The following is a 13770-nucleotide window of genomic DNA, read 5'->3' as shown; positions in this document are numbered from 1 at the left end:
GCAGTGAGCTGAGATCACACCACTGCGCTCCAGCCTGGGTGACAGAGCGAGACTCCATCTCCGAAAAAACAAAAACAAAAATTAGCCGGGCATGGTGGCACATGCCTGCAGTCCCAGCTACTCGCGAGGCTGAGGCAAGAGAATCGCTTGAACCAGGGGGAAGGAGGTTGCAGTGAGCCGAGACTGCGCTACTGCACTTCAGCCTGGGAGACAGAGTGAGACTCCTCAGAAAAACTGCTTTCTTCCAACTTACAAAAGCCGGAAGAAGAAAATGTCATTTATTTTCATGGTAGGAGATTTATGCCAAGATTGTACACCAGGTGGAGACCTGTACCAGCTCCCTCTGCTCCCATCTCCCAGAGTTCTAGGAATTTACTCTTGCACACTGGCTCTTTCATGTCTCTTCGACTTTGCCTACGGAGGTCTCTCTGCCTAGCATGCCTTCTCTCCATGTCTCACCATTATCCTCCGGCTTTATTTATTTATTTATTTATTTATTTATTTATTTTTATTGTTTGAGAAAGTGTCTGACTTTACCTTCCAGGCTGGAGTGCAGTGGCGTGGTCACTGTTGACTGCAGCCTCAAATTCCTGGGCTCAAGAAATCCTCCCGTCTCAGCCTCCCAAGTAGGTATGCATCGCCACACCCAACTAGTTTTTTAATTTGTGTGTGTGTGTTTGGTAGAGATGGTAGAGATGTTGCCCAGGCTGGTCTCAAACTCCTGGGCCCCACTGATCCTCCCACCTAAGCCTCCCAAAGTGCAGAGATTACAGGTATGAGCCACCACACACACCCAGCCTCTCCATCTGTTTTATTTATTTATTTATTTATTTATTTTTGAGACAGAGTCTCCCCCTATGCCCCACACTGGTGTGCAGTGGCGCAATCTTGGGTTCACCGCAACATTTGACTCCCGGGTTCAAGTGATTCTCCTGCCTCAGCTTCCAGGGTAGCTGGGATTACAGGCGTGCACCATCATGCCCAGCTAATTTTTCTGTTTTTAGTAGAGACGGGGTTTTGCCATGTTGGCCAGGCTGGTCTCAAACTCCTGACCTCAAGGGATGCACCTGCCTCAGCCTCCCAAAGTGCTGAGATTACAGGCCTGAGCCACCATGCCCTGCTACTGCACCCAGCTACTCAAGGCACATATGGAGCCAACATACTTGACCATCTGCAGGGGTCCACCCAGGGTAGGGGAGCTATGAGCACTGGCGTCGGAGGGAGCCCAGCTTATTGGCCCAACCCCGAGATAGACCCATTTCCCAGTGGGCATAGCACTCCAAGGCTTGTCACTCACAGCCTCTGCAACTCCAAGTCTTGGTATGCCTGAAACCCATACTCCACATGAGCACACCTTCACTGAGCACCTAGTGTGGGACAGATAGGCCAGGGCTGAGCACACAAGAGGAAGGAGACGCAGACTTTGCCTTGAGGAGATCACGTTCAGGCAGGGACAGAATTACTCCAGAGTGTCGCAGGCAAAGGGACCAAAGCCTCGGATTTTCTTTTCTTTTTTTTTTTTTTAATTTTTTTGAGATGGAGTTTCACTCTTGTTTCCCAGGCTGGAGTGCAATGGCATGATCTCGGCTCACTGAAACCTCTGCCTCCTGGGTTCAAGCGATTCTCCTGCCTCAGCCTCCTGTGTAGCTGGGATTACAGGCACCCACCACCACACCCAGCTAATTTTTTGCATTTTTACTAGAGACAGGGTTTCACCATACTGGCCAGGCTGGTCTCAAATTCCTGACCTCAGGTGATCCACCTACCTAGGCCTCCTAAAGTGCTGGGATCTCAGGTGTGAGCCACCGTGCCCAGCCGTCTCCAATAGAAGGAGGCAGAGAGAGGTTTGGCACCCAACAGAAATGAGTTTAAATCTTGGTTCCCCTGGTTCTTGGCTCAAGCTTCTCTGGTGCCCAGTGCCTTCCTATGAAAGGGAATGAGAGGGGTCTGGGGTTGTGACAAAATCATGTTTCTAGTGCTGGGCAAGGTGATATGCACCTGTAATATCAGCAACTCAGGAGCCTGAGGAGGGAGGATTGCTTGAGGTCAGAAATTCAAGCCCAGGCCGGGTGTAGTGGCACACAACTGTAATCCTAGCACTTTGGGAGGCCGAGGTGGGCAGATCACCTAAGGTCAGGAGTTTGAGACCAGCCTGGCCAACGTGGTGAAATCGCAGCTCTACTAAACATACAAAAAGTAGCTGGGCATAGTGGCGGGCAGCTGTAGTCCCAGCTACTCCCAACCTGGGAGGCAGAGGTTGCAGTGAGCCAAGATCGTGCCACTGCACTGCAGCCTGGGCGACAAGAGCAAAACTCCATCTCAAAAAATAAAAAAATAATAATAAATAAAATAAATGAATAAATAAATAAAATAAAAATAAAAATAAATTCAAGCTTAGCCTGGGCAACAGGCTCAACCCCATCTCAAAAAAAAAAAAAAAAAAAAAAAAAGGCCAGGCATGGTGGCTCACACCTGTAATCTCAGCACTTTGGGAGGCCAAGGCAGGTGGATCACCTGAGGTCAGGAGTTCAAGACGAGCCTGGCCAACATGTTAAAATCCTATCTCTACTAAAAATACAAAAACTAGCTGGGCGTGGTAGCACATGCCTATAGTCCTAGCTACTTGGGAGGCTGAGGCAGGAGAATCACTGGAACCTGGAGGCAGAGGTTGCAATGAGCTGAGATCACACCACTGCACTCCAGGCTGGACATCAGAGTGAGACTCTATCTCCAAAAAAAAAAAAAAAAAAAGTAGTCAGGAAGAGACATCAACAAAAATTGGTGATGAATGGGGTAGCAGTGGCACTGGGGACCAAAAGGGAACAGATATTTTGCACTACAATTGTCATCTCGTTTCTTTTCTTTTTTTTTTGAGATGGAGTCTCCCTCTGTTGCCAGGCTGGAATACAGTGGTGCGAACTCGGCTCACTGCAACCTCCGCCTCCCGGGTTCAAGCAATTCTCCTGCCTCAGCCTCCCGAATAGCTGAGACTACAGGCACATGCCACCATGCCCAGCTAATTTTTTTATTTTTAGTAGAGACAGGGTTTCACCATTTTGATTAGGATTGTTTTGATCTCTTGACCTTCTGATCTGTCCACTTCGTCCTCCCAAAGTGCTGGGATTACAGGTGTGAGCCATCACGCCTGGCCAATTGTCATCTCTTTTCACTTTTGAGCACATATGGGTATGCTGTAAAGGAAATTTTAAAATCTCAGGATCCCAGCCCCCCATCTTCTTATGCAAAAGAGAAAGTCATTGTGACACCCTTTTCCAAATGAATAGCTGTTCCTAAGATCATGTAACAGCCAGATAGATGTCCATTCAGCAAGAAAAGGCCTCAGGCATCTGGGAAGGGCTGCGCCCCGTAGATCATTCATAAATAAATTATTTGCTGGCCTCCTATAATCAAGTACATGCCAATGTTAACTTTAGGTCTACAATCTTTTTTTTTTCTTTGAGATGGAGTCTCCCTCTGTCACCGAGGCTGGAGTGTACTTGTGCAGTCTGGGCTCACTGCAACCTCTGCCTCTCAGGCTCAAGCAATTCTCTTGCCTCAGCCACCCGAGTAGCTGGGATTATGGGCGTGTGCCTCCGCACTGGGCTAATTTTTGTATTTTTAGTACAGATGGGGTTTTGTCATGTTGGCCAGGCTGTTTTCAAACTCCTGACCTCAGGTGATCCACCCGCCTTGGCCTCCCGAAGTGCTGGAATTACAGGTGTGAGCCACTGCACCCAGCTGAGTAAATTTCTTGATTGCACAGAATGTATGGTGATATTGGTGGACTTAAGGACATTGAATTGTTTATCAGGAATAAAGTATTATGTGTGTTTTCTGGGGTCCTGGATAATGCTGTAGCATTCAGGGTAGATTGAGTAAAAAAAATGTAGAGATGGTTTCCTAGTTACTTGTTTTTGCTTCTAATTTTCATTCATTTGCTATTTATTCTCTTCTGGCTTTGCTTGTGTATGCATATATATATAACCATTATTATTATTATTATTTTTAGTTTCTAGTGGAAGGCTTTTATTTGGTTCTGTGAATAGTCATTTTGTTTCCTATGTATTTCTAGCAAGTTGTATTCATTCCATTGATCTAGAATTCCTAGGCTGCCTTCGTTGGGCCTGCAGGAATTAATGGAGCATAGCAGCTTTTTATTTTTTATATTTATTTTTTGAGACAGAGTCTCACACTGTCGCCCAGGCTGGAGTGCAATGGTACGATATCAGCTCACTGCAACCTCCACCTCAGAGGTTCAAGTGATTCTCCTGCCTCAGCCTCTGGAATAGCTGTGACTACAGGCACCCACTACCACACCTGGCTAACTTTTTGTATTTTTAGTGGAGATGGGGTTTCATCATGTTGGCCAAGCTGGTCTCAAACTCCTGACCTCAGGTGATCCATCTGCCTCGGCCTCCCAAAGTGCTGGGAGTACAGGCTTGAGCCACACCGTCCAGCGAGTATACTTTCATAAATAGAATTTGAGTCATATTTCTGTCTCTGCCTAATTTCTCCAAAATTTGTAAACTATTTGTGAATATTCTTAATTCATGACAATGTGTTTGTTGGCATACAGTCCAACAGGGTCACCAGGGCCGATCAGGGAGAGAGAGCCTAGAAACTTGACATGTTGGCACTACTGTAACTGCTCAAGGGGTTCACCTTGCCCACTGCCTAGACAGAGCCGATTCATGAAGACAGGGGAATTGTAATTGACCAACATGGTATAATCCTGTCTCTACTAAAAAAATACAAAATTAGCTGGGAATGGTGGTGGGCATCTCTAATCCCAGCTACTTGGGAGCCTGAGGCAGGAGAACCGGTTGAACTCGGGAGGCGGAGATTGCAGTGAGCCATGATCGTGCCATTGCACTTCAGCCTGGGTGACAGAAAGAAAGAAAGAAAGAAAGAAGGAAGGGAGGAAGGGAGGAAGGAAGGGAAGAAAGAGAGAGAGAAAGAAAGAAAGCTGCTAACCCAAGCAGAACAAAAAATTAATTGAATACCAAAAAAACACTTTGCTAAATTTTCATGTTAAAACAGCCGATACCAAAATTGTTTAGATAAACAGTTTGGTTTTTGTTGTTGTTGTTTGTTTTTGTTTTTTGCTTTTTGCTTTTTTGAGACGGAGTCTCAATCTGTCACCCAGGCTGGAGTGCAATGGCGTGATTTTGGCTCACTGCAACCTCTGCCTCCCAGGTTCAAGTGATTCTCGTACCTCAGCCTTCTGAGTAGCTGGGATTACAGGTGCCCACCACTATGCCTGGCTAATTTTTTTGAATTTTTAGTAGAGACGGGGTTTCACCATGTTGGTCAGGCTGGTCTTGAACTCCCAACCTCAGGTGATCCACCCGCCTTGGCATCCCAAAGTGCTGGGATTACAGGCATGAGCCACCACCCCTTTTTTGTTGTTTTTGAAACAGGGTCTCACTCTGTCGCCCAGGCTGGAGTGCAGTGGAGCAATCTCCCCTCACTGAAACCTCCTTCTCCTGGGTTCAAGGGATTCTCCCATCTCCTCCCAAGTAGCTGGGATTACAGGCTTCTGCCACCATGCCCAGCTAATTTTTTGTGGGCTCGCCCAGCCTAGGTATACAATTTGAATGAACTCCAAGGTCTAAGTCAAATTACCTATGATAACCCATTAGGTATCAGTGCTATGCACGTAAACTGGAGAAACAACTGATATTCAGAGCACGCAAGTCCGATGTTAACCATGGACTCATGGAGAATCAAGATGGTCACCTTGTCCTTCCTGACTCCTTAAAGTGTTTGTTATTAAAGGTTCTGCAGTTGGGCGTGGTAGCTCACACCTGTAATCCCAGCACTTTGGGAGGCCGAGGTGGGCAAATCACCTGAGGTCGGGAGTTCAATATCAGCCTCACCAACATGGAGAAACCCCATCTCTACTAAAAATACAAAAAATTATCCGGGCGTGGTGGCTCATGCCTGTAATCCCAGCTACTCAGGAGGCTGAGGCAGAAGAGTCGCTTGAACCCAGGAGGCGGAGGTTGCGGTGAGCCGAGATAGCGCCATTGCACTCCAACCTGGGCAACAAGAATGAAACTCTGTCTAAAAATGAAAAATAAAAGACTCTGCATTCCATGACTCATCATGGAAAAGATAAAATGATCTAAATTAAATATGTATTGGTGTGCTGAATTATAAATTGCTAAAATAGTTCATAACCAATGTTTCGTTTGTCAAATTCATGTTCCTGGGAAGACAATCAAAGCTTCAGGTGCATTTGGCTACCTCATGGGCCATTTGAACATTTCAGTTGTCAATTATCATTTTCAATGCATGTTTTCTGGTTGCTTTCCCATGCAAGAGGGCTGATATTACAACAGTAGATCATTATGGTACAGTGTATTTTCACCAGGTACTGAAAGCTTTTTATGGCTCACTGACTGGGGACAATCAATTCCTTCACAATCTAGAACCAAAGATTGGATCTTCTGAGAACATCAGAGAAAGAATGTCCTTGCCATCCACAATACAGCAAAACTTCAGGACCTTGAACTTTGGGTTCATAATCTCACAAGAGGGAAGTTTTTCGCCAGAAAAAGATGGCATCCTTGATGTGAACAGCTTTTCCCAAGATCACAGATCAAGACTTCTAGTTTTTTTTTTTGAGACAGAGTCATTTTTTTTTTTTTTTTTGAGACATAGTCTCGGTCTTGTTGCTCAGGTTGGAGTGGAATAGCGCGATCTTGGCTCACTGCAACCTCCGCCTCCTGGGTTCAAGTAATTCTCCTGACTCAGCCTCCAGAGTAGCTGGGATTACAGGCGCCCACCACCATGCCCGGCTAATTTTTTTGTATTTTTAGTGGAGACAGGGTTTCACCATGTTGGCCAGGCTGGTCTCGAACTCCTGACCTCAGGTGATCCGCCTACCTCGGCCTCCCAAAGCGCTGGGATTACAGGCATCAGTCACCGTGCCCGGCCTTGTGATAGTGTCTTACTCTGGCACCCAGGCTGGAGTGCAGTGGTGCAATCTTGGTTCACTGCAACCTTCGCCTCCCAGATTCAAGCGATTCTTGTACATCAGCCTCCCGAGCCGCTGAGACTACAGGCACGTGCCACCATGCCTGGTTAATTTTGTGTGTGTGTGTGTGTGTATGTTTGTGTGTGATGGAGTTTTGCTCTTGTTGCCCAGGCTGGAGTGCAGTGGTGCGATCTTCGCTCACTGCAACGTCTGCCTCCCGGGTTCAAGCGATTCTCCTGCCTCGGGCTCCTGAGTAGTTGGGATTATAGGCGCTCAACACCATACCCGGGGAATTTTTTGTATTTTTAGTAGAGACGGGGTTTCATCATGTTGGCCAGGTTGGTCTCCAACTCCTGACCTCAGGTGATCCACCCGCCTCGGTGTCCCAAAGTGCTGGGATTACAGGCGTGAGCCCTGTGCCCAGCCTCAGTGTCTCTCTCTCTCTCGACTAGAGAGACTGACCAGGGACAATCAACTCTCTCCAGACTGACAGAGAGAGAGACAGAGAGAGCGAGAAAGAGACAGAGTCTGGCTCTCACCCAGGCTGGAGTGCAGTGGTGTGATCTTGGCTCACTGCAACCTCTGCCTTCCGTGTTCAAGCGATTCCTGTGCCTCAGCCTCCCAAGTAGCTGGGATTATAGGTCCACACCACCACGCCCGGCTAATTTTTGTGTTTTTAGTAGAGACAGCCTCACCATGTTGGCCAGGCTGGTTTTGAACTCCTGACCTCAGGTGATCCGCCAGCCTCGGCCTTCCAAAGTGCTGGGATTACAGGCGTGAGTCACCGCGCCCGGCCAAATAAAATAAAATGTTAAAGCAAATTCAGGACTACCCCTCCTCCAAGTCTTCTGTTCCCTTTGGGCGCCCAGGTGAGCGGGGGAGGGGCTGGGGGAGTAATAACATCAAAAGAGCGCCTTTTCCTCCCTTATTCCGAGGAGACTTCCCTGGGCCTGACTCCCGGTCCTGTCCCCAGCGCCCCGCGGCCTCTGGAGCCCCTTCAGTGACCAAGATACAGAGATCAGGACGCCTTTGCGCCGCCCCAGGTGCCCGCCCCTAGCTGGCTCTGCTTGGGCCGCGAGGGAAGGTGAGGTCGGGGGCGGAGCCGGGGCGTGACAGCCGGGGTGTGTGTCCGCCGGGCTTGGTGCCTCCGGTGGCCCTGCAGCACCGTCCCACCTCTGCCACCCTCCGATGGGGCCGCTACCTGTGTGCCTGCCAATCATGCTGCTCCTGCTACTGCCGTCGCTGCTGCTGCTGCTGCTTCTACCTGGCCCCGGGTCCGGCGAGGGTGAGTGAGGAAGGGGCTTTCCCGGAACTCAGGCGTTCCGGTATTCCTCCAGCCCTTCCTAGGGACCCAGCAGCCCTGCCTCCCATCCCTCTCCAAGTTCCTAGTTGCCCTAGAGCCCCCAGCTCGCTCTTCTAATGCTCACCCACACGATGCGCCCCAGCCTTCTGCAGGGCCCCCCACTCACTCCTCCCAGGGACCCAGAACTAGCCCAGTCCTTCCCCAGGGGCGCAGAGTCCTCTCCTGGCTCCCTCCCCTAACCGGCTGTGACCCTCTCCGGCAGCCCGGAAGCCTCCCGGTTGTCCTGATCTGGGGTCCGCGAACTTACCCTTCATTCCACCTGTCCCTGAGATGTGAGACACCAGAGGGTGGGAGGAGCAGGGGCAGAAAGGGCCGGCTTGGGGGTGGGAGAAGAATATATTGTGCCCCTGTACAACAAACCCCGGTGACCAAAAACAAAACAAAACAAAACAAAACAAACAAACAAAAAAACAAAAAATAGAACATACTGTCCCTATCTCACTATCCATCCTTTGGGGTCACTGTAGAGAGGTCCCGTGGGTGACTGCCCATTTCTGGGGTGCACAGATACATGTACCCGCAGAGTACTATGCAGACACCGCCAGCACACAGATGCGCAGGCACAGGACCAGCCCCAGACTCACCTGGCCCTCAGGTGTGCGGCTCCCACAGGGAAAAATACTGACATACCGCTAGGGGGACACACGCACACACAGCTCAAGGATACCCGAGACAGCACTCAGGACAATTCAGATGCACCGTGTACACACACACACACACACACACACACACACACACACACACAGAGCAGCACAGACACACATATGTGCGCATAGACCCTGGGGTCACAGGATGGACAGACAGCCCTGGCCCTCCCCCGAGGAGGCTGCAGCGGGCAGACAGGGCAAACAGACCCCAGCGTGACCTGCCACACCTATGTTGGCACAGAGGGAGTGTTTTGCTTGGTTATAAGCACAGTGCTCATGCCTGCCCCACGCCTAGAACCCTCCCTCTATAAGGCTGTTGCTAGGGCTCTGAGATACCAGAGAGTGGTCAGGGACGGTGGCAGGGGAACCTTTGGGGACAGCTTCAGGGTACGGTGTTGGGACTGGGACATTGTCAGGGTGCTCAGACAGGGCGTGTTCCCTGGGTCTTGGTGCATTTAGAGGTCAAGGGACCATTTCTGGAAGCTCACTGTGTGCCAGGGCAGCTTATATCAGAGCTCAGCTCTTTTTTTTTTTTTTTTTTGAGACAGAGTCTCACTGTTGCCCAGGCTGGAGTGCAGTGGTACGAGCTCGGCTCACTGCAACCTCCACCTCCCGGGTTCAAGCGATTCTCCTGCCTCAGCCTCCCAAGTAGCTGGGATTACAGGCGTGCACCACCATGCCCAGCTAATTATGTATTTTTCGTAGAAACAGCTTTCTCCATGTTGGTCAGGCTGGTCTGGAACTGCTCACTTCAGGTGATCTGCCCGCCTCGGACTCCCAAAGTGCTGGGATTACAGGCGTGAGCCACCGCGCCCGGCCCCAAATGCGTTTTACATTTTCTTCCTCTTTGATTCATCTTTGTCCTCCAACATAAATATGCTACTTTTTCCACTGATAAAAAGACAAAATGGAATTTCAATCTGGCCTGGACTTCTCAAAAAAGTCAGTGTGATGAAAACTGTTCTAGATAAAACAGAAATGAGACTGGGCATGGTGGCTCATGCCTGGAATCCCAGCGCCTTCGGAGGCCAAGGCAGGAGAATCACTTGAGGCCAGGAGTTTGTGAACAGCCTGGGCAACATAGTGAGACCCCATATCTACTAAAAATTTAAAAATTAGCTGGGCATGGTGGTGCATGCCCGTATGTCTGGAGACTGAGGCAGGAGGATTGCTTGAGCCCAGGATTTGGAGGCTGCAGTGAACTGATTGTGCCACTGCACTCCAGTGTGGGTGACAAAGTGAGACACTGTCTCTAAAAAAAAAAAAAAGAGAGACAAGATGATCAGGATGAGCGCAGTGGCTCATGCCTATAATCCCAGCACTTTGGGAGGCCAAACCAGGTGGATCATATGAGGTCAGGAGTTCGAGACCAGCCTGGCCAAGATGGTGAAACCCCTTTCTACTAAAAATACAAAAATTAGCTGGGTGTGGTGTCGCACGCCTGTGATCCCAGCTACTCGGGAGGCTAAGGCAGGAGAATTGCTTGAACCTGGGAGGCAGAGGTTGCTGTGAGCAAGATTAAACCACTGTGCTCCAGCCTGGGCAACAAGAATGAGACTGTGTCTCAAAAAAAAAAAAAAAAGATGATCAAACACAATGCGTCAACCTCCCAGAGCTGTATAAACCCTAACCCTAACCCAGGAAGCAGGCAAGCCTGTGTGTGAGTTTCCACTCTATTGCTGGTACTACTCGGCTCTGGCAACCCCGAAGGCCACCTTCCCCTGTTGTCACTGTGTAAGGAGGAAGGAGCACTGGTTTGCAAGTCAGAAGCCTGGGTTGAAGCCTCTGCTCGGGTTCCTGCTGGCTGTGGGAATGTGGGGTTACCTTTCCCGGCTGGCCTCGTTTCCTACATGTCCAATGCAGGGGTTCCAGTCACATGCATTGGGCACCATTACATGTCCAAGCTGTGCCAGGATCTAGAAAAATGGCTGGGCTCAGGCCAAGGGGCCTTCCTGTCTGGCAGTGAAAATAAGAGGAGATACCAAGGGCCCTGAGTCTGAGTCTGGAGGGGAAGTCATGAGCACAGGGCAGTGCCAGGGCCCGGGAGCTGCCACAGAGGAGCCCACCTTGGTGACAGACACCTGTAGGCGCGTCCGTGATGCCCAGTTCCCAACACAGGGAACTGGACAAACGTTTCATGCACGACTCTTTTTTCCCTTCTTGGCTACCTTGAGGACCTTGATTATAATAGTTAGCCTTTTTTTTTTCTTTTTTTGAGACTCTTGCTCTGTCACCCAGGTTGGAATGCAGTGGCAAAATCTTGGCTCACTGCAACCTTCATCTCTCAGGTTCAAGTGACTCTCCTTCCTCAGCCTCCCTAGTAGCTGGGATTACAGGCATGAACCACTATGCTCGGCTAATTTTTGTATTTTTACTACAGATGGGGTTTCACCATGTTGGCCAGGCTGATCTTGAACTGCTGACCTCAGGTGATCTGCCCGCCTGGGCCTCCCAAAATGTTGGGATTACAGGTGTGAGCCACTGAGCCCAGCCGGATTATAATAGCCTTTTCATGCACCAGGGGCTTTATACTCATTATCTCATTTCATTCATATGAGTTGAAGTCAGTTTATCCCCCATTTCACAGATGAGGAAACCAAGGCCCAGAGAGGTTAAGAATTTGTCCAAGGTCACACAGCCAGGAAGTAGGATTCAAACCCAGACAGCCAGGCTGTAACACCTGGGCTCTTCTCAGGCTCATGCCCTTCCCAGGGGTCTGGGAAGCCCTGACCTGCAGCCTGTCACCTTTGTTTACCCCCCAGCCTCCAGGATATTACGTGTGCACCGGCGTGGGATCCTGGAACTGGCAGGAACTGTGGGTTGTGTTGGTCCCCGAACCCCCATCGCCTATATGAAATATGGTTGCTTTTGTGGCTTGGGAGGCCATGGCCAGCCCCGCGATGCCATTGACTGGTGAGTGCATGCCTGGGACCAGGCCACAAAATCCCTCACACTCTGGGGTAGTCAAGGCTTATGAGGAAGTACCCAAAACTGAAGCTGGGGTTTGGTCCAGGGAGATCCCAGTGTGCAGTACTACTTTGCAGGCAGGCAGAGGCCTCTTGGATAACATGGCCAGTGAAGCCAGATCTTGGTACCAGCTGCCCCTTACCCTGGCCTTGAGCTGATGACGTTGCCTTAAAAACTTGGCTAGGAGCTGTGGCTCACTCCTGTAATCCCAGCACTTTGGAAGGCCGAGGTGGGCAGATCACTTGAGGTCAGGAGTTCAAGACCAGCCTGGCCAATATGGTGAAACCCCATCTGTACTAAAAATGCAAAAATTAGCTGTGTGTGGTGGCAGGCGTCTGTAATCCCAGCTACTCAGGAGACCGAGGCAGGAGAATTGCTTCAACCCAGGAGGTGGAGTTTGCAGTGAGTTGAGATTGCACCACTGCATTCCAACCTGGGTGACAGTGCGAGACCCTGTCTCAAAAGAAAAAAATAATAAAAATATAAAGTGACCAGGTGTGGTGATTCACACCTGTAATCCCACCACTTTGGGTCGAAGCAGTAATATCACTGGAGACCAGGAGTTTGAAACCAGCCTAGGCAACATAGTGAGACCCTGTCTCTATATTAAACACACACACACACACACACACACACACACACACACACACACACACACACACACAAAGGAAGCCAGACTATGCACTAGGAACTGCCCTGGGAATCCCTTTGCGTTCTCACAACAATCCCATTTCACAGATGAAGAAACCAAGGCACAGAAATATTCAGTAACGTGTCCAGGTGCGGTGGCTCACGCCTGTAATCCCAGTATTTTGGGAGGCCAAGGCAGGTGGATCACGAGGTCAGGAGTTCCAGACCAGCCTGGCCAACACGGCGAAACCCTGTCTCTACTAAAACTACAAAATTAGCCAGGCATGGTGGCGCATGCCTGTAATCCCAGCTACTCGGGAGGCTGAGGCAGGAGAATCACCTGAACCCAGGAGGTGGAGGTTGCAGTGAGCCAAGATCGTGCCATTGCACTCCAGCCTGAGTGGGATTACAGGCATGAGCCACTGAGCCTGGCCTGGTGAGCTAATTTTTAAATTTGTTATAGAGACAAGAGAGACAAGAGTTTTCTTATGTTGCCCAGGCTGGTCTCGACCCCCTGATCTCAAGTGATCCTCCCACCTTAGCCTCCCAAAGTGCTGGGATTACAGATGGGTGTCACCGCACCTGGCCTCTAAGGAGGGTTTCATTATAAACCTACCCTGAAGGGAGGGAATCCGATTTTATGAGAGGGTGTAGCCTGGTGAGGCCTGGATGACCTCCAGAGGCAGGGGCTTGTGCCTGGGCTGAGGCCTAAGGGTCAATGGGCAGACATGAAGTTGCCCCAGGCAGAGGGTACAGTGTGGGCAAAGTCAGGAAGTGGCAGGGCTTGGATCACTCCAGGAAGAGAGAGGAGTCATGTGTCACAGGAGCTCGAGACCCAGAGAGGGAGGCAGGCAGGCAGGCAGGGACCAAGCTTGGGCACAGCCAGGAAGGCAGGACAGGGCATGGTGGGGCCAATGGAATCATTACCCAAGACGGGGATTTTCAGGGAAACAGCTTAGATAAGGCCAGGTGTACAGTAGCTCCCACCTGTAATCCCAGCATTTGTGGAGGCTGAGGTAGGAGGACTGCTTGAGCCTGGGAGCTCGAGACCAGCCTAGGCAACATAGTGAGACCCCATATCCACAAAAAATTTAAAAAAGGAGTTTGTCTTCCTGTAGTAGCAGACTTGAGAGGTTGAGGTGGCAGTATCACTTGAGCCTGGGAGTTCAAGGCTAAAGTGA

General features: G+C 50.0%; 1 protein-coding gene across 7 annotated transcripts in view; it reads left to right on the top strand.

The window, feature by feature from the left end:
- The first annotated feature begins 549 nt into the window (after positions 1-549).
- Positions 550-13770, top strand: part of PLA2G10 (phospholipase A2 group X) — a 29303-nt gene continuing 16082 nt past the window's right edge. For 5 of the 7 annotated variants that reach the window (XM_047434757.1, XM_011522697.3, XM_011522695.4 and 2 more), the window contains exons 1-3: positions 550-630; positions 6435-8267; positions 11755-11905. In XM_047434757.1, the coding sequence (XP_047290713.1) occupies positions 8171-8267; positions 11755-11905 (248 nt within the window). In that variant the 5' untranslated portion in view covers positions 550-630; positions 6435-8170. Of the gene's footprint in view, positions 631-6434; positions 8268-11754; positions 11906-13770 lie in introns of those variants that run through there. The other 2 variants (NR_133651.1, NM_003561.3) reach the window with 2 other exon arrangements.

This window comes from Homo sapiens, chromosome 16 (assembly GCF_000001405.40).
Source record: "Homo sapiens chromosome 16, GRCh38.p14 Primary Assembly".
Taxonomy (NCBI): Eukaryota; Metazoa; Chordata; class Mammalia; order Primates; family Hominidae; genus Homo; species Homo sapiens.
The sequence above is the reverse complement of the archived record's forward strand: the minus strand, read 5'-3'. Positions and strand labels throughout refer to the sequence as shown.